The sequence below is a fragment of the Homo sapiens genome, chromosome 20 (genome assembly GCF_000001405.40).
Source record: "Homo sapiens chromosome 20, GRCh38.p14 Primary Assembly".
Lineage (NCBI taxonomy): Eukaryota > Metazoa > Chordata > Mammalia > Primates > Hominidae > Homo > Homo sapiens.
In genome coordinates, this window is record NC_000020.11 from 50,024,177 (window position 1) to 50,040,172 (window position 15,996).

Consider the following 15,996-nt stretch of genomic DNA (forward strand, 5'->3'; position numbering starts at 1 on the left):
TTACTCAGGAGGCTGAGGCAGGAGAATCGCATGAACCCAGGAGGCAGAAGTTGCAATGAGCTGAGACTGTGCCACTGCACTCCAACCTGGCGACAGAGCGAGACTCCATCTCAAAAAAAAAAAAGAGAAGGAGCCTGTCCAGGGGATGCGTAGAAAGGGAGCCTGGTGGGGCTGAGGTGGGAGAGGGGGGTGGGGGTGCATCACCTGGAGCTTCGAAGGTCGCAGTTAGAGATCCACTTGGCTCCTCCTTTGCTTTGTTCAGACTCTGTGTCACCTCCTCTGAGGAGCCTTCCCTGATGACCCTGGCTAAACCAGGCCCTTCTTTACCCCTTACCCTTATCTGTAGATGGCATCATAGTATCTGTTTATTGGGTGTGTGGGGATATCTTGTCTTTCTTCCTCCACAGTTACAAGGCCAGCTGGGTAGAGTTATCATGAGATGCCTATTGACTCCCCCGTGGTGCAGAAAATGTGGCCACAAGGATCCCAGCATGGGTGCTGTTGATGGATGGCAGGGAAAATCAGTGCCGTGTTTTATGGATTGCAGTTTTGACTCAACTTAAGCCTCAGAAGCCAACTCTGGAACCCAAGCCTTGAGCCCCAAAAGATTCCCCCAAAATCACAGTGACAATCATGGCTTTCACTGGATGCTTGCTGCATGGCACGCACTGCTACGCAACCTTTCAACATGTGCGATTCACTGGTATTTAGTACATGTGCAGTATTGTGCAACCACTGCCTAGATCCAGAACATTTCCACCACCCCGAAAGGAAACCCTGGACTCACGAGCCATCACTTCCCATCCCTCCAACACCCCAGCCCCTAGAAACCACTCACTTAGTTTCCATCTGTGTGAATTTGCCTTTCCATATTAATGGAATCATGTACTATGTGGCCTTTCACATGTTCACCCATGCTGTAGTGCATATATGGTATGTAGCATGTAGGTACACATTTTATTTCTGCATCAGTTGATGGCCATTTCAGTTTCGGTTGCCTCCACTTTCTGGCTATCATGAATAGTGCTGCAATGAACATCTGTGTACGAGTTTTTTGTTGGTTTATTTTGAGACGGAGTCTCGCTCTGTTGCCCAGGCTGGAGTGGGGTGGCGGGATCTTGGCTCACTGCAACCTCTGCCTCCCAAGTTCAAGCGATTCTTGTGCCTCACCCTCCTGAGTAGCTGGTACTACAGGTGTGCGCCACCATGCCTGGCTAATTTTAATACAAAAAATAATTTTTGTATTTTTAATAGAGACGGGGCTTCACGATGTTGGCCAGGCTGGTCTCAAACTCCTGACCTCAAGTTGATCCACCTGCCTCGGCCTCCCAAAGTGCCAGGATTACAGGCGTGACCCACTGTGCCCGGCCTGTGTATAAGTTTTTGTTTGAATATCTATCTTCAGTTCTTTGGAGATATACCCAGGAGTGGAATTACTGGATCATATGGTAATTCTGTTTAATTTATTGAGGAACTACCACCTAAGCACTTCAAATATATAAATAGAGATGGGATCTCACTATGTTGCTCAGGCTGGTCTTGAACGCCTGGGCTCAAGCGATCTTCCTTCCGTCTCAGCCTTCAAAGTGTTGGGATTGCAGGTGTGAACCATTGTGCTCAGCTGACCTAAGCACCTTTTAAAGCACTCATGATCCTGGGGAACGCTCACAACAAGGCAATGAGGGAGGCTCTGTGCTGCCCCCATTCTGCAGATGAGGAAACTGAGGCTCAGAAAGCAGAATTCATGAGCCAAGGTTACACTGGTGAGAAATGATGATGTCAGGCCTGTTGGATTCCAAACCAACTTGAACCTAAAGCTGAGAAGGAAGAGTGTGAGAAAAAAGAGAGATTATGAGAGCAGTAACAAGGGTGACTTCGGTCCACACTTAGCCTCTTGAGTTGCCATCTGTGGAAAAGGTGAGGAAAGAGGTAAAAGTCAGTGTTTCTCTATCAAACTTGCATGGATTCCCACCCCCTCCTGCTCCGTCCTGGCTGAGTGAGGTTGGGCAAGCTGGTTCACCTCTCTGTGCCTCAGTTTCCCCAGTGAATGGTGCTAAGGAGAAAAACTCCCTCAAATGGTGAGGATAAGAATGAAATAAGGCCAGGCGTGGTGGCTCATGCCTGTAATCCCAGCACTTTGGGAGGCCGAGGCGGATGGATCACTTGAGGTCAGGAGTTCAAGGCGAGCCTGGCCAACATGATGAAACTCTGTCTCTACTAAAAATACAAAAATTAGCTGGGCATGGTGGCAGGTACCTGTAATCCCAGCTACTTGGGAGGCTGAGACAGGAGAATCACTTGAACCTGGAGGCGGAGGTTGCAGTGAGCCAAGATCATAGCCGCTGCACTCCAGCCGGAGAGGCAGAGCAAGACTCTACCTCAAAAAAAAAAAAAAAAAAAAAAAATTTAATAAGGCTGGCCTGCTGCTATGGTTATCAATGTTGTTATTATCCTTTTCTACACAAGGGTCCCCCCAGCCCCAGAATCCCATGCTCTTGTTTCGGGTGCAGCTCTGGGGCAAAAGGGAGTCAGGGACCCCCAGAATCTTCTCCCCAGGGTTGGAAATGTTGGGTGGCCCAGAAGTAGAAGTAGTGTCTACTTCAAAAGTCCCATGTCCATGCTACAACTGAATGTTCCAGATCAGAAAACAGCACATAGTTTTCCAGAAATGCTGGGACCTTATCTCCTCAGGAGTGAGAGTAGCCTGGACCCATTAATTCACCAGAAACACATTGTATTTTAGGCCAGAAACAATAATAACTGTGGCCTGTTAAGTGGATGTCAGAGAATAAAAATCTAATCTGAATTTGTAACTCTGTCAGAAGGAATGGGGTGACCGAGAATTCCACAGGCGAGTTTTCAACATGGACACAGGGTGGGGGGTCCCTGAGCCTCTCTGCTGAGGTTTTGCACAGATCAGGGCTTGTGGAGAACAATGGGGACATTCTTTGAGCACTTGCTGTGTGCCAAGGCACAAAACAACCCTGGGAGGCTGTACTGTTAGAAGTTCCGTTGTTCAGATGGGAAACTGAGGCCCAGAGAGGTGGAGACGGTTGCCCAGAGTTGAACAGCTAAGAAGCGGCTGAGATGGGGCTTGAACCCAGACAGTCAGGATCTGACTGGAGCCCAAACTCTGAACCACGTGTGTCTTTCTCAGGGAAGTCTGGAAAAATGTGGTTTAGTGTTCTGCACAATGAAGTAACTTGTTCAACTGAGGTCACTGGCTGATGGTGGGAGTCACTGATGGAGGAAATGGGGAGAGGGCCCAGGACCCCCCAGGAAGTGTCCCCTGTCTCCTTTGCTGGGTATTTTCCTTCCCTGACTCTTGGCCTGTTTCTTTCTTGGTGAGTGTATGTGGGGTGGGGTTAGTGAGAAAGGGAGACCCCAGCTCTGGCGTTGCGGGAGTGTTAGGATCCAAGGCCAGGCCTGCAGCCCTGGGTCCCTCCTGCCTGGGAGGTACCTGGGGAAGTCTGCAGCCTGTCTACACTGGTGAAGCCTCAGCCCCAACCAGCCCCCTGCCCTGCACTTGCCAACTGGGCACCGCCACTGTCGGCACCACATCCCCAGGGTGTGTAACAAGTGTCACAGCCTCACCCAGCCTCAGTTTCCTCCCCTGGAAAATGGGGATAGCCACGACACGTGGTGGGGAAGGTTATATTTACATGACCTGGGCTGTTACTCTTATTCCTGCCTCCAGTAAGAAGCCACGTGGAGTGTCTGCCATGCTGAGGAGAGGGCACCCCTGGCCGGAGCCCAGCTGGATGTCAGGCCTGAGGCTGGATGTCAGGCCAAAGCTGGCTCCAGCCCAGCAGCCTGACACGAAGGGGAGGGAGGCCTGAGTCGGCCAGACTCCTGAGTCACTGTTTCCCGGCTCTGCCAGGCCAGGCGGGAAAAGGGGGAGCGGGGCGGAGGGAGGGGAAGGGGATAATCTGGGGGAGGGAGGGAGTGGAGAGTGAGACACCAGTTGTAACCATTGTTGGGTGGGACAGACAGAAAGCCACCTGCCAGGGGGGCAAGGAGATTCTGGGGTGTCAGAGTGGGGTCCTTGCACTTCCCTGCATTATAGGCTGCAAACTCCTCCCTCCCTCGCCACCAACACATACACACACACACACACACACACACACACACACACACACACACACACTGCACTCAGCTTCACAGCTTTCCTTCTCTTTCTTGAGTGTGTTGACCAGGTTCCAGCCTCAGGGCCTTTGCACTGGCTGTGTTTTCTGCCTGGAACACTTCAAGGTTCTTTCTCAAATCTCAGGCTTCAGCTTAAATGTCACCTCTTCAGTGAAGCTGTCCAGGCTGGAGTGCAGTGGTGCCATCATGGCTCACTGCAGCCCCAACCTCCCCGGGCTCTGGTGATCCTCCCACGTCAGCCCCTCGAGTAGCTGGGACCGCAGGCGTGCACCATCATGCCCTGCTAATTTTTGTATTTTTCTGTAGAGATGGGGTTTTGCTGTGTTGCCCAGGCTGGTCTCGAACTCCTGAGCTCAAGTGATCCACCAGCCTTGGCCTCCCAAAGTGCTGCGATTGCAAGCCTGAGCCACCACACTGGGGCCTGCCTGAGCTTTCTTTTTCTTGAGACAGAGTCTCGCTTTGTCGCCCAGGCCAGAGTGCAGTGGTGCAATCTCGGCTCACTACAAGCTCCGCCTCCCAGGTTCACCACCCGGGTTCACACCATTCTCCTGTCTCAGCCTCCCAAGTAGCTGGGACTATAGGCACCCGCCACCATGCCCGGCTAATTTTTTGTATTTTTTTAGTAGAGACGGGGTTTCACTGTGTTAGCCAGGATGGTCTCCATCTCCTGACCTCGTGATCCGCCCGCCTCAGCCTCCCAAAATGCTGGGATTACAGGCGTGAGCCACCACGCCCGGCACCTGCCTGAGCTTTAAGTGTGCTCTTCCTACTCCCCCTCCCAATTCCTTTAGTTCATCCATTCATTCATTTATTTGCCCGGAAGGTATTGCGCACCTCCTTCGGGCAGGGCCCTGCTTTAAACAGTGAACAGAGTAGACAACCTGCCTGCCCTCATGGAGCCATCACTCCACCCAAGGAGATGGCACAATGAGCACACCGCACACTGGGCTGGAACAGGTGTCTCTGGAGGAGCCAGGCACAGGTGGGGGAGCCAGGCGCAGCTGGGGGAGTCAGGACATAGCGCGGGGGCTTTCCCTGTTGGAGGGGGTTGAGTACGGTGTCTCAGAAAGTGATGCCAGGGAGATCTGCAGGACGAATCGAAGGAAGCCATGTGGGTGTCTGCGGAGAGAGAGTTCCAGGCAGAGGGAACAGCCAGTGTGAAGGCCCTGAGGCAGGGGTGTGGTGGGCAGAGTCAAGGAGCAGGCAGGAGGCCAGTCGGGTGGGAGCAGAGTGGGCGAGGCCAGGAGGTGAGGCCAGCAAGGGGACGGGGCGGGCAGGTGGGGCAGGCAATGAGGAGGATGTGGCTTTTGCCTTGAGCCCCTGGAGGGTCCTGAGCAGAGGGGCTGCAGAGACATGGTCAAGTTCCAGGTGGGGTTAGGGCGAGAACTGACCTTCCAGGCAGACAGGCAGGGTCCCCCCACCTTGCCCCTGCCCTGAGATGAAGCGCCAGCCTTGGATCAGGACCCTGTCCAGAGGTGGGCCAGGGCTCTCAAGCCAGACTCGAGTCTGCACTGGGTAGGGACAGCTTCCCACGGCCAGCCTTCCCCGTGGAGGATTGCTTGCGGGGGAGGGGTCCCCTAAGTCTCTTCTCTTTCTCCCTCTCTTTCGTAACCATCAGCCTAGCCAGACCTTTGGTCAGGCCTGGTGGAGAGAGTGTTCTCTGTCATCATCTGGCCATGGGAAAGGTGAAGTAAAAGCCACCAGTGACGGAGAGAAGCAGCCTGTGGCCAGCCCAGCACCACCCTCACCCCACGCACCCGTAGGCTGAGTGCCTCATCCCTTGGCCATGGTCCCCCAACCTCCAACATAATCAGGCCCGTGGGAGCCTGGCCAGAACTGTGGCCAGTGACTCAGCAGGAATCACCCCAGACAGGAGCCAGAGCCCCGGTGTCCAGACCAGAAACCACCCCTGACCTGTTCGGCTGGGCAGGAACAGGGACAGAGCAGGCGGAAAAGCTCTCAGCCCAGGATAGCCGGGGGAGAGGGGCGTGGGAAGACCCCTGTCCAGATGCAGTTCGTGGCCACCCACCCTGATGGTGTCTGCTGAGGTCCAGATCGTAGTTTTAGGAGGGGGTTCGTGGCTGTTCTGCCCAATTCTGTTGAAGCCCTGAGCATCAGCCTGGCTTTGATGGGTTATACTGGGCTGTTGTGGTGTAGCTTGTCTATTCCATTGCATTGTTTCTGTTCTATTGTGTGTTCTGGTCTGTTCTAGAACCTACCAATCCTTTCTATTCTATTGTGTTTATTCATTCAGCAGATACTTACTGACCACCCCTGTGTGCCAGGCAGTCTTCCAGATGCTCGGGTCACAACTTTGTTTATTTATTTATTTATTTATTTATTTTGTGACGGAATCTCACTCACTCTGTTGCCTAGGCTGGAGTGCAGTGGCGCGATCTCGGCTCACTGCATGGAGTTACAACTTTGGATGAAATGAGACCTCTGCCCCAGGGCGTTCATGGGGAGACCAGCAACTGATAAATATCAGGTAGTGGTAAGAGCTGAGAACAGCAGCAGCAGCATCAAAGCAGAGAGCCACAGAAGGAGCGAGGCGCAGGCTGCGTTCACAGTGCGGGGAGCAGGGTCAGGAGCAGCCGCAGCCTCACTGGCAAGATGACAGTCTTTTTTTTTTTTTTTTTTTTTGAGATGGAGTCTCACTCTGTCACCCAGGCTGCAGTGCAGTGTTGCAATCTCGGCTCACTGCAACCTCTGCCTCCCGAGTTCAAGTGATTCTCCTGCTTCAGCCTCCGGAGTAGCTGGGATTACAGGTGCGTGCCACCACACCCGGTTAATTTTTGTATTTTTAGTAGAGATGGGGTTTCACCATGTTGGCCAGGCTGGTCTTGAACTCCTGACCTTAAGTGATCCACCCGCCTCGGCCTCCCAAAGTGCTGGGATTACAGATGTGAGCCACCGCAGCCAGCCAAGATGACAGTCTTGAGCAGAGTCGGGAAGGAGCTGAGGGAGGGAGGCACACAGATATCAAGGGGTCAAGAAAAGCATTCTAGGCAGAGAGAACAGCAAGTACAAAGGCCTGAGGCTGGAATGTGCCTAGTGTGTTCCAGGACTGGCCAGGAGGCCAGTGTGGCAGCCAAGGGGAGCAGTAGGGAAGATGGGGTGTGTGGGGACATGGCTTGGAGGAGGTTAAAGCCAGGTGGGAGAGAGCAAGAGGGACAGAGCTCTCCACGGTCCTCCTGGGGTGTGGGGCCAGCTGGATGGCCTTGGATAGGGGGTACGCGTGTGAGTGTGTGTCTGTGATGTGGACAGATGCATGTGGGTCCGCGTGTGGTGTTGTGCATCCCTGTGTGTCTGTGTGCGCCCATCCATGCACCTGCATTATGTGTCTCTGATTCAGGCAGTTAGTGCTTCTGTATTTGTAGGTGCCTGTGGGTATCTGCAGTGTATTGTGGGTGTGTGTTGTGTGTCTGGAATTTGGTGTGACTGTATAGGAGCAGGTCTGTGTGTGTCACGTCTTTTTTTGGCAGGTGCCTGGACGTGTGTGTGGAGTGTTGTTTGTCTGCCATGTATTTTGTGCATGTGTGGGGGTGTGTGTGTGCATTAGTCTATGTTCCTGTGATTGTGGCATGGTGACAAGTTTTGGGGTTCCTGGGGGTGCAAAGGCATGGGAAGGAGCCTTCCTGCAGACCCACCCCAGGCCAGCAGCAGCCCCTCCCCATGGCAGCAGATACACACTCACTCTGATGCCCCGGGAGGAGGCTGGGCAAGCAGCCCCAGAGCAGCAGGCAGCATCAGGTGGAGAATGAGGGTGGGAGCTCAGTTCAGCCACCTTTTCTAGGCATTTCAGGGCCTGTCAGAAGCTCCCATGGAAGATGTGGAGGTTGGGGAGCAGTAGACATTCACAGGCCTGGGAATGGGGGTGCTTGAGTATCTGGGGCACCCACGGGAAACTCTGGCCTCCTTGGGCTTAATGGGTGGAGCCGGGTTTTTGCACACACGTGGTGGGGGCGACTACATGTACTGAGCTCATGCCAGAGTATGAGAGGAGACAGTGCCCGACGTATGCACAGATGAACACATGTATGGAAGGATAAGTATGTGTTCAAGGGTGGACACATGTGAACACAGACACTTGTATGTAGGGACAAACATTTGCGTGCAGGGACAGACACACACATCCAAATAGACACACAGGTGCAGGAGCAGACACTTATGTACACAAATGGATGTGAGTGTACATGGATAGACACACATGATTGTCCTTTGTGGGCCCCAGAACCTCTCCTGCACACACTTGCACACACATGCACACTGACTCACATGCACTCACGTGTGTGCAGGGCCTGGTCTACCATGCACACCATGCATATAGGGTCCCTATGCATACAGAAAATCCCCAAATGGGCCTGGCATGGTGGCTCATGCCTGTAATCCCAGTGCTTTGGGAGGCCAAGGCGGGTGGATCACCTGAGGTCAGGAGTTGGAGACCAGCCTTGCCAATGTGGTGAAAACTCATCTCTACTAAAAATACAAAAATTAAGCTAGGTGTGGTGGCAGGTGCCTGTAATCCCAGCTACTCCGGAGGCTGAGGCAGGAGAATTGCTTGAACCCGAGAGGTGGAGATTGCAGTGAGCCGAGATGACGCCATTGCACTCCAGCCTTGGTGACGGAGCAAGACTCTGTCTCTCCCCCAAAAAAAGAAAGTCCCCAAATGTAATGTGTGCCTCTCATCCTCAGTATCAGGAGAGTGCTGAGAGCACACACGGCTGACATTCTCTGTGTGGGGAGCCAGCACATGGCCCTGGGAGCCAGGCCTGGCTGCCTTTTGGCCTTTGTGATCGGGTCCTGTACTGTGCGCTTTACTTTCTGTGCCTTGGTCTCCTCATTTCTTAGCGAGGACTGAAGCTGTTAACCCATGCCAAGTGCTTGGCTTTACATCAAATAGTAAAAGTTACTCTTACTCCTGTCTGGTGCCAGCCTAGGCTCATATTACAGACAAGAGGCCTGGGGCAGTGGCTCATGCCTATAATCCCAGCACTTTGGGAGGCCAAAGCGAGAGGGTCACTTGAGCCCAGGAGTTCAAAACTAGCCTGGGCAACATAGCAAGACCCCATTTCTACAAAAAATTTTTTAAAAAAATTAGCCGGGCATGGTGGTGTGTGCCTGTAGTCTCAGCTATTCGGGAGGCTGAGGTGGGAGTATCACTTGAGCCTGGGAGGTTGAGGCTGTAATGAGCTATGGTCATGCCACTGCACTCCGGTCTGGGCAACAGAGGGAGATCCTGTTTCAAAACAAACAAACAAACAAAACTGGGCCCAGAAAGAGTAAGGTCCTTGCCTGGGACCGCACAGCCAGAAAATGGCAGATTCAAGATTCAAGTACCCTGAAAGTCTTCTGTGCCCAGAAATACACACACAGGGCCCACACATCCACTTGGAAGGATACCCAGGACTGTGCATGCACTTACAGCCAGGACCGTGGCCACAGAAAGGCCCTGGGGTCAGCAGAGGCTGGAATGGTCAGTGGGAATGTTCCCTCCCAGCCAGGGCTTGCAAATTCCAGAACCTCCAGTGATAGCTTTCGGGAGCCTAGATTCTTCCTACTCTAACCTCTGCCTAAAATTCCATTTCTTCTTCTTTTCCTTGCTTTAAGCAAGGGTCAGATGATTCCAATGCCTGCAGATGCTAGGCAGGTACTTAAATAAGTTAAGGGTGAAGCAATAGGGGTTGGTGGAGACTGTGATGGGTGTGATTCATTGCCACGTAGGAAAGCCGGCCCGCTGCTGTGGGAAAACGGGAAGTCAGAATTGTAATAGAATTTTTTTTTTTAAAGTGACTGAGTCTTGCTCTGTCACCAGGCTGGAGTACAGTAGTGAGATCATAGTCCACTGCAGGCTGGAATTCCTGGGCTCAAAGGATCCTCCCCTCTCAGCCTCCTGAGTAGCTGAGTAGGTGCAAGCCACCACGCCCAGCTAATTTTTGCATTTTTAGTAGAGACAGGGTTTCACCATGTTGGCCAGGCTGATCTCCAACTCCTGGCCTCAAGTGATCTGCCCACCTCAGCCTCCCAAAGTGCTGGGATTACAGAAGTGAGCCACTGTGTCCGGCCCACACCTGGCTATTAAATTTTTTTTTTTTTTTTTTTTTTTTTTAGAGCCAGAGTCTCTCCATGTTGCCCTGGCTGGTTTTGAACTCCTGCGCTCAAGCGATCCTCCTGCCTCAGCCTCCCACAGTGCTGGGATTATAGGTGTGAGCCCCTGCTCCCAGGCTGATTTTGTGGGCAAGAAATTCCAGTTGTTTCTAACTCTGTGGGGGTCAAACAAGTCTCCTCTGTCCCTCTGTGGGTCTGGTTGGTCCGAGCACCCCCCGTTTGTAGTCTCTGCCTGTTCACTGAGGCCAGAGGCTGGGTGCTTGCTGTGTGCCCTAGGGAAGGGCCTGGGCTTCTCTGTGTTCAATTTCCTCATGGCCAGACCCTGGGGAGGACACACATGGTAGAGAGCTGAGACTCTCCAGGGGAGAGCCAGACCTGGACAGCAGAGGAAGGACCGTCATGCCTGAAAAAGTCATTTCTCTCCTCATCCCTACTCTGCCCGTCTCCTGCTATCCGCAGGGAACTTAATGGAGAAAACACCCTGCCAGTGCCTGTTTTCCTTTCCATCCTGCGGTGGGTGCCAGCTCCAGATGAGTGACTCAGGGCTTCCCATGGCAGCAGATAAACACTCGCTCTGATGCCCCGGGAGGAGGCCGGGCAAGCAGCCCCAGAGCAGCAGGCAGCATCAGGTGGAGAATGAGGGTGGGGGCTCAGCTCAGCCACCTTTTCTAGGCCTTTCAGGGCCTGTCAGAAGCTCCCATGGAAGATGTGGAGGTTGGGGAGCAGTAGACATTCACAGGCCTGGGAATGGGGGTGCTTGAGTATCTGGGGCACCCACGGGAAACTCTGGCCTCCTTAGGCTTAATGGGTGGAGCCGGGTGGATAGAGGGGTAGGGTGTCAGAATTGGCTTAAGAATTTCAGAGTGGGCCGGGCATTGTGGCTCACGCCTGTAATCCCAGCACTTTGGGAGGCTGAGGCAGGTGGATCACGAGGCCAGGAGATCGAGACCATCCTGGCTAACACGGTGAAACCCCGTCTGTACTAAAAATACAAAAAATTAGCCAGGCATGCTGGCAAGCGCCTGTAGTCCCAGCTAATCGGGAGGCTGAGGCAGGAGAATGGCGTGAACCTGAGAGGCAGAGCTTGCAGTGAGCCGAGATCGCACCATTGTACTCCAGCCTGGGCAACAGAGCGAGACTCCGTCTCAGAAAAAAAAAAAAAAAAAATTTCAGAGTGAGGCAGGTCCCAGCAGGCCAGGGTCATTATGGCAGCCTTCCTGGAGGAGGGGGCTGAAAGTAGCTCTGTGGCTGCTAGCCTTGAAGTCAGGATACCTGGGCTCACACTAGATGGTTGGAAAGCATGAAGGCAGTGACTATGTCATCTCAGTCACTTGTGTCCTCAGCTCCCAGACCAGAGTCTGGTATACAGCAGGCACTCAATAAAGATCTATAGGCCAGGCATGGTGGCTCACGCCTATATTCCCAGCACTTTGGGAGGCCAAGGCAGGAGGATTGCTTGCTGCCAGGAGTTTGAGACCAAGCCCAGGCAACATAGCCTGTCTCTCCAGAATAAAAAACAAACAAAAACATTTAGCCGGGTGTGGTGGCACTCACCCATAGTGCCAGCTCCTCAGAAGGCTGATGGGGAAGGATCCCTTGAGTTCAAGGCTGCAGTAAGCTATGATGGCACCACTGCACTCCAGCCTGGGTGAGAGAGTGAGACTCTGCCTCTAAAAAAGTAATAATTAAAAAAATATTTGTAGGCCAGGCGTGGTGGCTTATGCCTGTAATCCCAGCACTTTAGGAAGCCGAGGCGGTTGGATTACTTGAGGTCAGGAGTTCGAGACCACCCTGGCAAGCATGGTGAAACCCCATCTCTACTAAAAATACAAAAATTAACCAGGCGTGGTGGTGGGCACCTGTAGTCCCAGCTACTCAGGAGGCTGAGATATGAGAATCGCTTGAACCCAGGAGGACCTTGTCTCAAAAACAAACAAAAAAAAGATTTGTAAAATGAGATGACAGAAAATAATAGCTTTAGGGAACACTCACCCTGGGCTAAGAACCGTGAACAACCCTATGAGGTAGGTGTTATTATTATCTTCTATTTTATACATGAGGAAACTGAGGCACAGAGAGGTTAAGTAATATGCCCAAGGTCATACAGCTAGCAAGTGACAACCAGGGTTCAAACCCAGGCCTGTCTGCAAAGCCCAGGGCATATCACTTCCTGAATGGTTCGATGTCTGTCACTCCCACGGGGCGGTGAGGGCCATAAACGCTGGGCTTATCTGTTTTGGTCCCTGCTCATCTATTTTGGCCTGGCATATAGTAGATGCTTAATAAATACTTGTTGAATAAATTACAAAAGTCCTTTGGGTCCTCAGACAAGTCACTTCTCTCCAAGCTTTGGTTTCCCCATCTATGCAATGGGCATACTCTAAGTACCAACCTCATTGTGTTGTTTTGACAAAGAAATGAAAGAGTGGAGGAGGATTGTGGCTCTGTAGGAAAAGTTCCAGAGTCAGCCAGACTGGGTTCAGGTCTACACTGCCTACCCTTCCAGCTGTGTGACCTTAGACAAGTTCCCCACCCTCTCTGAGCTGCAGTTTTCTTATCTGTGTGATGGAACAGTTTGGAGGCTGGGAATCTGGGTTCTCTCGGGCCCCTGTCAAGCTCTGCCTCGGGTAACGACTGGCCCTGGAGCCTCCACCCCTCAGATCTCAGGGGCACTAAAGCTTCTGAGGAGGTGGCTTCTGGACTCATCTCAGACGGGGCAACTCACCCCAGCAGGCAGGCAGAGAGGATGGCTCTCTTTGGGCCTGACCTAGGGCTAAGAACCTTCTTGTTGGAGTGGGACAGGGCCTGAGCTCAGAGTTCCAGCTGCCTAGCAGGTTTGAGCTTGCACTGGGTTAAGCAACGCCCTACCCCACTCCACCTCCAACGAGGGAGATGGGAGCTCTTTTGAACCAAGCACCTGCTGAGTGCCAGGCTCCTGCTCTGAAACCCCTCAACCTCCCTCTCCTGTGAGGTGGGGGCCAGGGCCATGCCCATTTCACAGACAGAAAAACAGGTTCCCAGAGGAACCTCACCCAAGATCATAGATCCCAGCTCCTCCAGCTCTGAGCTGTCTCCTCTGCCTGACCCTTCTTAGATCGAGGAGGGAGATGGGTGAGAACGTTCTCTCCAGAGAAGGAAGGAGTCTGATGACTCCACAGCAGGCAGGAATGGCAGCTCCAACTCTCTTTAGGGGTCTGTGTCATTTTGCAGCCTTAGGAGCAGCTTAATACCATTTTCAGATGAGAAAACAGCCCATCTTCTTCTGCGGGGTGAGCGCTCCTTCTCCTTACACTCCCTCTCTCCCTCCCCCTTCCCTCCGAGCCCTGAGTAATCTGCCCCTATCTCTTGCTGTTCCTCAGACATACTGGGCGCACTTCCACCCCAGGGCCTTTGCTTATACAGGTCCAGCTGCCTGGGACGCCCTTTCTCCTCTTCTCCTGGTGGCTCCTTCTCTTCCTTCAGGTCTCAGCTCAAACCTCATCTCTTCGGAGATCCCTCAGCAGCCCTAAAGCGCCCCCAGCTCAGCCCCCTGTTAAGTTTTCTTTCATGTCCTGGTCGTATCTAATGTGATCTCACTGGTTGCTTCCTTTGCTGGTTTCTTCTCTGTCTCCCCACTGGAAAGTGGGCTCCCTGAGACTGGGTCTGTCCATCCCGTTCATGCTGTGTCCCCAGACCTAGCCCAGTGTTTGGCAAGTCCGTGTCTGCTGCAGGAGTCTTCTGAATGAACTTGGGCATAGCTAAATGCCTGGCAAAGTCTCTAGTGACATCAGCTGCCCGAGGGGAGACAAGTTGGAAGAATAGGGAAATCACACAAACTTGGGTTCAAATCCTGCTTGCTGTGTTACCTTAGGCAAGTGCCCTGTGCCCTCTCTGTTTTGTTTTGTTTTCTTTTTCTGGAGACAGGGTCTCACTGTATTGTCCAGGCTGGTCTGGAACTCCTAGGCTCAAGAGATCATCCTACCTCGACTTCCCAAATTGCTGGGATTACAGGGGTGAGCCACCGTGCCCGGTTGCTCTGCCCTCTCTGCTTCTGGACTTCCATTTCCTCGGCTAGATTGAGGGATGACCACAGTGACTATCTCCAGGATTGTTGGAAAACCTAGAGATTCGATGAGAATGGGAACCAGCCAGCCCCAAGTGGTGCCCATATACTGTCATCCCTGCCACCCTCTTCACCTTCCCAGCCCCGAAGTTCCCCAGCTGGCAGGGATGAGTGGAGAGGCCCCTGTCAATGGTGTCTGTGCTGAACAAGTCCCATTTGCTGCTGCCTCCTCCCCAGGCCAGAATAAACGTGCACCTGCCCCAGGTCACAGAGCACACAGCAGGGAGCCGAGGGGGTGGGGCAGGGAGCTGAGGGCTGGAGCAGGGCTCCTGGTGTCTCTGAGGACAAAACAGTCCATTGTGGCCCTGTGGGTATTGAGGGAATCACAGGGCCTGAATGGAGGCGGGTGAGGAGGCAGGGCAGGTGTGGGAGCAGGTGTCCACGGTCATCCCACGGCATCGCCCCTGGGGGGAAGTGCCCCCCTATGCGTGCCCTGGAACCGGCCTGGCTGGTCGGACACCTGTCCCCTGCAGCTTCTTGTCAGGAGACAACATAGGCGTGAGCCAGGCCCCAGGGGTGGGGTGGGATGAGGGAGTGGGGGGTGGGATGAGGGAGTGGGGGGTGGGATGAGGGAGTGGGGGGTGGGGAAGTAGAAGATGGGAAGGATGGGACTGGGGGACAGAGACTCTGGGGTCTAGGGCAGAGAGACCCAGGATAGAATCCCAGCCCTGCTCCTTCAGGCTGGGAACACTGGACAAGTCACCTCTTTAAGCCTGTTTCCTCATTCACAAAGTGGGGCTGAAACTCCCCTCTGTGCCCCAGTGAATTTTCCAGGCACACGCATGGGGCGGGGTATGGGGGGCTTTGATGATTTGGGGCCTCAGTCTGCCCACAGCCTCCCTCCCAGAAAGGGTTCATCATTCTTTTACTGAAGAAACACTTAATTTAGAAAAGGCCGGGCGCGATGGCTCACGCCTGTAATCCCAGCACTTTGGGAGGTCAAGGTGGGAGGATCGTGTAAGTCCAGGAGTTCGAGACCAGCCTGGGCAACACAGCAAACCCCATCCCTACTAAAAATACAAGAAATTAGCAGGCATGGTGGCATATCCCTATAGTCCCAGCTATTTGGGAGGCTGAGGCAGGAGAATTGCTTGAACCCCAGAGGCAGAGGTTGCAGTGATCCAAGATGGCGCCACTGCACTCCAGCCTGGGCAACAGTGTGAGCACCTGTCTCAAAACCAAAACAAAAACACACTCTTATTGAGCTCCTACTGTGTGCCAGAACCATGCTAGGTGCTGGGGACACAAAAGTGAGTGGGACAGACAAGTTTCCCTTACTGGGGAAGAAGACAGAACATCCAAAGGATAAAGAATGAGCAAGAGAATTCCAGACAGTGATGCGGGCACCAGGAATTAAATTGAAGTTGTGCTGGAGGGTGACTCCACAGTGTGGTCAAGGAGGGCTCTCTGAGGAGGGACCTGAAGCCCCGAGGAGGAGAAGCAGAAAAGAGGAGCAGGTGGGGAGACCTGGGGGTGGGCTGCAGGCTTCAGGCAAAGGCCTGTGGTAGGACTGAGCTTGCATTTGCACTTGCAGAGGAAGTGCGGGGAGCACCCCAGCCCAGGAGGTATCTGGCCCGAGGGGACCCTCTCAGCCTACCCCTGCCCCTCCCTGTCCCCGGAGGCTGAGGCTAAGAGGCAAG

General features: G+C 53.4%; 1 long non-coding RNA gene across 2 annotated transcripts, besides 3 other annotated features; it reads right to left on the minus strand.

Annotated features, from left to right (window-relative positions):
- Positions 3,162 to 4,001: an enhancer, noted in NCBI's record as "H3K4me1 hESC enhancer chr20:48643875-48644714 (GRCh37/hg19 assembly coordinates)". NCBI's record gives its function as "activates a minimal SCP1, AML or CMV promoter by ChIP-STARR-seq in naive H9 embryonic stem cells {active_cell/tissue: H9 hESC(naive)}" and the evidence as "EXISTENCE:reporter gene assay evidence [ECO:0000049][PMID:30033119]".
- Positions 4,002 to 4,839: an enhancer, noted in NCBI's record as "H3K4me1 hESC enhancer chr20:48644715-48645552 (GRCh37/hg19 assembly coordinates)". NCBI's record gives its function as "activates a minimal SCP1, AML or CMV promoter by ChIP-STARR-seq in primed H9 embryonic stem cells {active_cell/tissue: H9 hESC(primed)}" and the evidence as "EXISTENCE:reporter gene assay evidence [ECO:0000049][PMID:30033119]".
- SCREEM1 (SNAI1 cis-regulatory eRNA expressed in monocytes 1) lies at positions 4,915 to 6,301 on the minus strand. Of its 2 annotated transcripts, none has more exons than XR_936829.1 (3): positions 6,176 to 6,301; positions 5,538 to 5,816; positions 4,915 to 5,265 (listed from the first exon to the last, which is right to left on the minus strand). It is a non-coding gene; the product is annotated as an SNAI1 cis-regulatory eRNA expressed in monocytes 1 (long non-coding RNA). The 2 variants fall into 2 exon arrangements; XR_936828.1 differs by having other exon boundaries at positions 6,061 to 6,301.
- Positions 5,679 to 6,516: an enhancer, noted in NCBI's record as "H3K4me1 hESC enhancer chr20:48646392-48647229 (GRCh37/hg19 assembly coordinates)". NCBI's record gives its function as "activates a minimal SCP1, AML or CMV promoter by ChIP-STARR-seq in naive H9 embryonic stem cells {active_cell/tissue: H9 hESC(naive)}" and the evidence as "EXISTENCE:reporter gene assay evidence [ECO:0000049][PMID:30033119]".